Below are 7,220 nucleotides of genomic sequence, written 5' to 3'. Positions count from 1 at the left end.
CCTGCCTCAGCCTCCCAAGTAGCTGGGATTACAGGCACCCGCCACCAGGCCCAGCTAATTTTTTTATATATTTAGTAGAGACAGGGTTTCACCATGTTGGCCAGGCTGGTTTTAAACTCCTGACCTCAAGTGATCCACCTGCCTTGGCCTCCAAAAGTGCTAGGATTGCAGGCATGAGCCACTGTGCCCGGCCTACATCAATATTTTTTATTTCTACAACTTCTACCTTAAAAAATAATAATTTTCTTTTCTTATTTGATAGATTGTATTCCTTTATCTCATTAAGCACTTTAAGTGTATTTATTTCTAACAGTTTTACATACATTAATTTATTTAATTCTAACAGCAACTCTATGAAACAGGTGCTGTTTATCACCCCAATTTTGCAAAGCAGAAAATGAGGCAAAATGTGATTATGTGACTATTCCAAGGTCACACAATTAGTGATTTGTTGATTGAGATTTAAAAGCAGAAACAAAGGCATTTGAGCTGTTATGGGCTAAATTGTGTAATCTCAAAATTCATACGTTGAAATCTTCACCCCCAGTACTTCAGAATGTGACTATATTTGAAGATAGAGCCTTATTTATTTATTTATTTATTTAGAGATGGAGTCTCACTCTGTTGCATAGGCTGGAGTGCAATGATGCAATCTTGGCTCACTGCAACCTCCACCTCCCAGTTTCAAGCAATTGCCCCAGCCTCAGCCTCCTGAGTAGCTGGGATTACAGATGTGTGCCACCACATCCAGCTAATTTTGTATTTTTAGTAGAGACGGGGTTTCATCATGTTGGTAAGGCTGGTCTCGAACTCCTGACCTCAGGTGATCCACCTGCCTCAGCCTCCCAAAGTTCTGGGATTACAAGCGTGAGGCACTGTGCCTGGCCAATGGGGCCTTTAAAGAGGTAATTAAAGTAAAATGTGGTCATACGGGTGGGCCCTAATCCAATAAGATTGGTGTCCTTATAAGAAGAGAAAATTAGGACACAAAAGCGTGTGCACACACAGAGGAAAGACAGAACACAGAGAGAAAGCCACCACGTGCAAGCCAAGGAGAGAGGTCTCTGAAAAACAAATCTGCTGATACCTTGATCTTGAACTTTCAGCCTCCAGAACTGTAAGAAGTTTCTGTTGCTTAAGACTCCCAGTCTGTGGTAATTAGTTATAGCAGCCCTAGCAAACTAATACACTTACCTTCTTCACACACAAACATTTCTAACCTTTTCCTCCATCCAAGGTCAAGTACTTATGAATGCCAAGTTTGCTAAAACTTGTTATCATCTGACTGAGGCCAGGAGAGTCTTAATGGTTGTACTTTGAAATCCCAAGAAGGTAATTATGTCACACACCCACTTCTGAAATGAAACGCATACTTAGTTTTTAAGGTCTTTTTAAATATTGTTCTATTGTTTCTATTTTCTCATGTGTCAACTCTCCCATTTTTGTGGGATGTATTTCTTTATGTTGGACTTTCTCAAATGTTTTACAATTTGGTATTATCATGTTTAATAAATTATATTCTTCATATTGGTCTTCCTTAAGACCAATATGTTTTATAATTTCTGCCTATGAGCTCATCTTCAATGGGAATTATCCTTTCAGTGTGGTGGTGGAATTGTTCCTACCAGTGACCTAGATTGTGGCGACCTCCCCCTAGTTGCCTCTGCATAAGTCTTAAGGGGTCACAAATTCTCAAATTTTTTTCTCCATTTCCATCTTGGGATTTTTGTACATCATGAGTACATGTGTGGATCCAGCTTGTTCTCCACATTCTTGTGGGTAATTCTATTTCTATCCATGGCCTGGGACATTTTTTTACTTCTGATCTATAATCAACCTCGTCAAGCTTCCTGCTGTGTTCAAGTTCAGAGGCTTTGATTCTTGTTTCCCCATAACCATTAATTTATAACAAACACCATAAGGAATGTATGCTACAGTCCCTAAAGTACTCAGCTTACCGAGGTAAATATAGAATTATCTCTTCATTTGTGGCACCTGAACATGTACTTTTCTTGTTTTGAATTGAATTACATATTTACATTACAAAAAATATATATGCAGCATTTCTGTATGTTCCAGAAAATTTATGGGATCTCGGGAAAGCTTTAACCCCTTTAGATCTGGCTTCCTCATCCTAAGACTGTAGGGAAGATTAAACATGTTAATCCTTGTAAAGCACTTAGAACAGTGCCTGGTTCACAAGTACTCAGTAGGTGTTTTGATAAGTATTCCTGCTTCTGTTCAGTTCTTTTTCTTAACCAGGCCTGGTCCATCATCTTTATATATTTAAATTTTACTTTTCAAATAACCAAAACAATAACAATTAAAACATTTAGATTCTTCTCCTCTTCCCACCCCTTAAAGCAAACTTAACATGAGAAGGTATTTTATCATCTTAAAAAAAAAGTCTTATAATGAATTAAACTCATTATATTAATTATTCAATTCCTACAAATGCAAAATTATGAAAATTCCTTTGAAACAATTGGCTTATGACTACTAAGCTCATTAATGATCTATCAAAATTATCACTCAGAAAAGCATCACAAAAGCTTCGGGTCAAGGACACCCCAGGCCCTGAAAGGGATTTCTCAGTACCATCCCAGAATATTTCTATAGCACAACAGCCGACAGCCATTAAAAACAGTGAAGAACTTCAAAGTGTGCTAAATTGGAAAACCACCAAAACAGTAATACAGAACAGAACATACATGTTGAGATCCTGCCTAAGTAAAACAAAGGATATAGGTGTGTGTGTGTGTGTGTGTGTGTGTGTGTGTGTGTGTATGCACACAGACATGCAAGGGAGAGAGAGAGAGAGGGAGAGAGAGGCAGGGAGGTAGAGATTATGTATATATAGAACATTTCTGGAAGAACACTCATAAAACTGTTAACGTAGGTTATATAAAATGTTTTTGAGCAAGAAAGTGACAAGATCAGATCTGTGTCAGCAGATTCACATGGCTACTGAGTGGGATGGGGTGCTGAGGGCTGGAAGCAATTGGGAGAGACTGAAGCCAAGAGACCCATTTAAAGGACATTGCAATTGTCAGGTAGGAGTTGATGGGGGCCTGTTCTGAGGCAGTGAGATAGAGCAAAGGACAAAAAAGGAAATTAGATTCACTTTAGAAAGCCACCCAATTGCAGCCCCAGGGCCTAGCACAGTACCTACTGGTACTAGGTGCTCAATAGGAAAGAAATGGTCTCCTGCGTGAAAGACTTATAATTTTAATTTTCAAAGTCATCCCACTGGGCACCTGAACATGACAACCCCACTGGCCCCTTCACCCTCTTCTCACGAGTTCATTCCCTCAGCCCTGGGCCTGGGGAGCTGGGTTGTGGGGACAGGTCCACAGGCAGGTGAGTCCAGGGCTCAGGCCTCTACCTGTGCCCCTTGCTGGCCCTGCCCACCCAGGAGGTCCCTGCTGCATCCCCATGGTCCCACTCAGATCTATTCCTACACGCACACACACACACACACACACACACACACACACACACACACCCGCTACAAACACTTACATTTAGGAATTGCTTAAAATATATATTTTTAATGAGTGAAACAATGGAAGAGAGTGAGCAGAAGGATGAGGGTCTCATAAGTGTGGCATCTGATGATAGGTTGCAGGAAACAGCCAAAATTCCCAGAAGACAGAGCACTCAGCGGACACCTCTTCAACCTCGGCATGCAGGAAGGCTCTGTTGGAAGGCTTTGGTGGCAAGGGACAGAGAGGGGAAAGAGGGAGTTAATGCACTTATTTTAATATCTCTTGAGCCTAATGCGGGATCTGGTTTATAGTGCCCTGCTCAAATGTTTGTTGAATGAATGAAGGAAAGGTTGGATAAATGGGTGGATGGCTGGGTGGATGGCTGGATGGATATATGGGTAAATGGATGAGTGGATGGATGGATGGTGGATGGATAGATGGATGGGTGGATGGGTGGATGGATGGCTGGATGGATATATGGGTAAGTGGATGAGTGGATGGATGGATGGTGGATGGATAGATGGATGGGTGGATGGGTGGATGGATGGGTGGATGACTGGATGGGTGGATGGGTGGATGGATGAATGGGTGGGTGGATGGGTGGATGAGTAGATGGATGGGTAGATGGATGTGTGGATAAGTGGGTGGATGTGTGGATGAGTGGGTGGATGAATGGATGAGTAGGTGGGTGGGTGGATTGGTGGGTGGATGGGTGGGTGGATGGATGGATAGATGGTGGGTGGATGGATGGATGGGTGAAGGGATGGATGGTGGATGGATGGATGGTGGATGGATGGGTGGATAGATGGATGGGTGGATGGGTGGATAGATGGATGGGTGGATGGGTGGATAGATGGATGGGTGGATGGATGAATGGGTGGGTGGATGGGTAGTTGAGTAGATGGATGGGTAGATGAATGGGTGGATGAGTGGGTGGATGAATGGATGAGTAGATGGTTGGGTAGATGAATGGGTGGATGAGTGGGTGGATGAATGGATGAGTAGATGGTTGGGTGGATGGATGGATGGATGGATGGATGGATGGATGGATGGATGGATGGTTGGATGGATAGATGGTGGGTGGATGGATGGATGGAAGGGTGGGTGGATGGATGGGTGGGTGGATGGAAGTGTGGATGGGTGGATGGATGGGTGGATGGGTGGATAATGGATGGATGGATGGGTGGATGGATGGGTGGATGGGTGGATGATGGATGGATGGGTGGATGGATGGTGGATGGATGGATGGACGGATGGATGGGTGGATGGGTGGATGGATGGGTGGATGGGTGGATGGATGGGTGAGAGAATAGATGAGAGACTACTTCAATCTGGCTTTCAGGGACAAAACTGAAACCCATGTTTTGTGGCAATCAGATGGCTGTGGGAACTTTCAAAGATGGCCCTCAGGGACCCCCACCCCTGGTATTGTGCCCTGTGTAATCCCCTACCTTTGAGTGTAGGCTGTGCCTGATGACTTCCTTCTAACGAGTAGAATATGCCAGAAGTGATGGAATATCACATCCTTGAGTATATTACAAAAGACTGACCTACCTCTTCCCAGACTCTCTCCATAGCCCTCTCTGATGCAACGAGCTGCCAGGGCGGAGAGGCCCACATGGCAAAGGACTGATAGTGGCCACAGCTGACAGCTGAGAGGGGCTGAGGCCTTCATCCTACAGCCCTAAGAAACTGAATCCTGCCAACACCAGCAGCTTGGAAGTGGATCCCCCCTAGTGGAGCCATGAGATGAGACCTCAGCCCCTCCAACACTTGGATGGCAACTTATGAGAAACCCTGAGCAGAGAACCCAGCCAAGCAGTGCCCAGACTTCTAGCCACAGAAACTGAGATGACAAATGAGTGTTATTTCAAGCCACACACTTTGAGTTAATTTGTTTCCAGAACAGATAGCTAAAACAAACGCTGATTTGAGTTTTATATAAAGATGGATGATGTAGCAATTAAACTTGGCAAATGATGGTAGTGGTTTTGATACTAGTTGGCTTGGGTTTGAATCCTGGATCCCCAACTTACTAGCTGTGGGGCTTTGAGCAAGATGATCAATTTCTTGAGCCTCTGTTTCTGCATCTTTAAAATGGGCATGATTCTCTGGTCATAGTGACAACACAAGGATTACATAGATTATGTAATGTACTTAGCCCAGTGCCTGTCATGTAGTAAGCACTGGATTAAAGGAAGCTATTAGAGGGAATAATAATAATAATAATAATAATAATAATAATAATAATAATGGAGCAAGATGCCTTACAAAGCAGTGAGTGTTCCATGCCTGGAAGTGATTGAGTTAAGGCCAGATGGCCATGGCAGGAAGTGACTAGAACCCTGGAGGACCCCAAAGCCTCTCCCAAATCTCAGATTTGAGGGCCGTGCAGCTGGCTTGGCCAATGCTTGGGGTTGGTGGGCCAGCTGAGCCACGGGCCCCTCTTGGTGTGACCATCAGCATTATCTTGCACTGGGCGGGCGGCGGGTATTCCAGCCATGCCCAGCCTTCCCCTCAGATAGCCCTTCCCTCCTGCACCACTTTTGTGTCAGGTATGTGGCTGCCACCCTGGCTCAACCCATGGGGCCCAGGAAGGTAAACACCCAGCCGGGAAGTGATCGTTATGGGCTCGTGGCCAGCTATGGGCCAAGGCAGGTCTAAAGGTCGGGAATGCTTACCAGTGAAGCTTTTCCAGGACAGGACGAAGTTTTTGGCTGTGGGCTCTCTGGGACAGAGTGGAGCGCCTGTGGATTTAGCCGGGGACACACCATCCTGCTCGCAGGTGCCTGGACAGGACAGGGGACGAGGGAGGAACACTCTCTGAGGAAGCCCAACTCCTATGAGCTCCTCTCTGGCAGGTGAGAGAATGGTTTTGGTATTTTTTAAAAAAATAAAATGAGATAAAACAAGAGAAGGAACAGAGGCTACCGCTAGGACAGGTAGGAAAGGAGATTACCACCCATCCATTCACTGAGGAGGAGCCCCCAAGAGAAACAGCAGCCCTGGATTCCACCCGAGGGATCCTGTCTGGTCTCGGCTTCAGCACTGCCCCTCCTGGCACTCAGTTTCACCATCTGGGAATCAGGATAAGGACTCCTTCCAGGCGCTCTTCCATTATGGCTGTGGGGTAAGTGAGATCAAAAGCAGGAATGGCTGCATAATTGCAGGGCCCTGTGCAATATAAAAATGCAGGGCCCCTTGTTAAAATAGTAAGGCTTTCAAAAGGACAACAACACAGCATTAAAGCAAGCCGGGGCACCTTCTAAGAACAGGGCCCTGTGACTGCCCAGGCCCCACACCCACGACGCCAGTCCTGATAATGAGCGTATATGTAAACGGAAGTGCCCTGATTCCTGTGTGCCATGGCACAAATCTCAGGGTCAGGAAGTGCACTTGGGAAACAGAAGTCATAGTCGTGAAGTGACAGCCCACTGCGCTTTAGCTCCCCCAGCACTGCCCCCTCCGCTCAGGGGCCCCTTTCAGAAAGACAGAAGGCCCTACCCCTCAGAACCTTCCTGATTTTTGCATCTGGCTGGCCTCAAGCCACAGCACGGTGTGACTGAAATGTGTAGGGACACAGTTTTCTTGGATGTGAAAGTGGTAGGTTCTTATTGTCTATCTTGATTTAAAATTTGGGACAGTCACACAGTCTCTGGCTGTGTAGAGGTGGGACTTGTGTTTCCTGGGCTCGTGACAGCTCTGCTATGTTCCATTGACTATCAGTGTATT

At 45.4% G+C, this 7,220-nt stretch overlaps 1 protein-coding gene and 1 long non-coding RNA gene across 3 annotated transcripts in view; one reads left to right on the top strand and one right to left on the bottom strand.

Moving 5' to 3' along the window:
- Positions 1 to 3,531: 3,531 nt before the first annotated feature.
- Positions 3,532 to 6,803, bottom strand: LOC101928881 (uncharacterized). The gene is made up of 3 exons (NR_136325.1): positions 6,448 to 6,803; positions 6,170 to 6,277; positions 3,532 to 3,710 (listed from the first exon to the last, which is right to left on the bottom strand). It is a non-coding gene; the product is annotated as an uncharacterized LOC101928881 (long non-coding RNA).
- NGEF (neuronal guanine nucleotide exchange factor) overlaps positions 6,161 to 7,220 on the top strand; it is a 134,556-nt gene continuing 133,496 nt past the window's right edge. Inside the window, exon 1 of one of the 2 annotated variants that reach the window (NM_019850.3) lies at positions 6,161 to 6,349. The gene's annotated coding sequence lies outside the window, so the exon portion shown is untranslated. Of the gene's footprint in view, positions 6,619 to 7,220 lie in introns of both variants that reach the window. The other variant, XM_011510923.4, reaches the window with a different exon arrangement.

Source organism: Homo sapiens, chromosome 2 (genome assembly GCF_000001405.40).
Source record: "Homo sapiens chromosome 2, GRCh38.p14 Primary Assembly".
In the NCBI taxonomy this organism is placed as follows: Eukaryota; Metazoa; Chordata; class Mammalia; order Primates; family Hominidae; genus Homo; species Homo sapiens.
The sequence above is the reverse complement of the archived record's forward strand: the minus strand, read 5'-3'. Positions and strand labels throughout refer to the sequence as shown.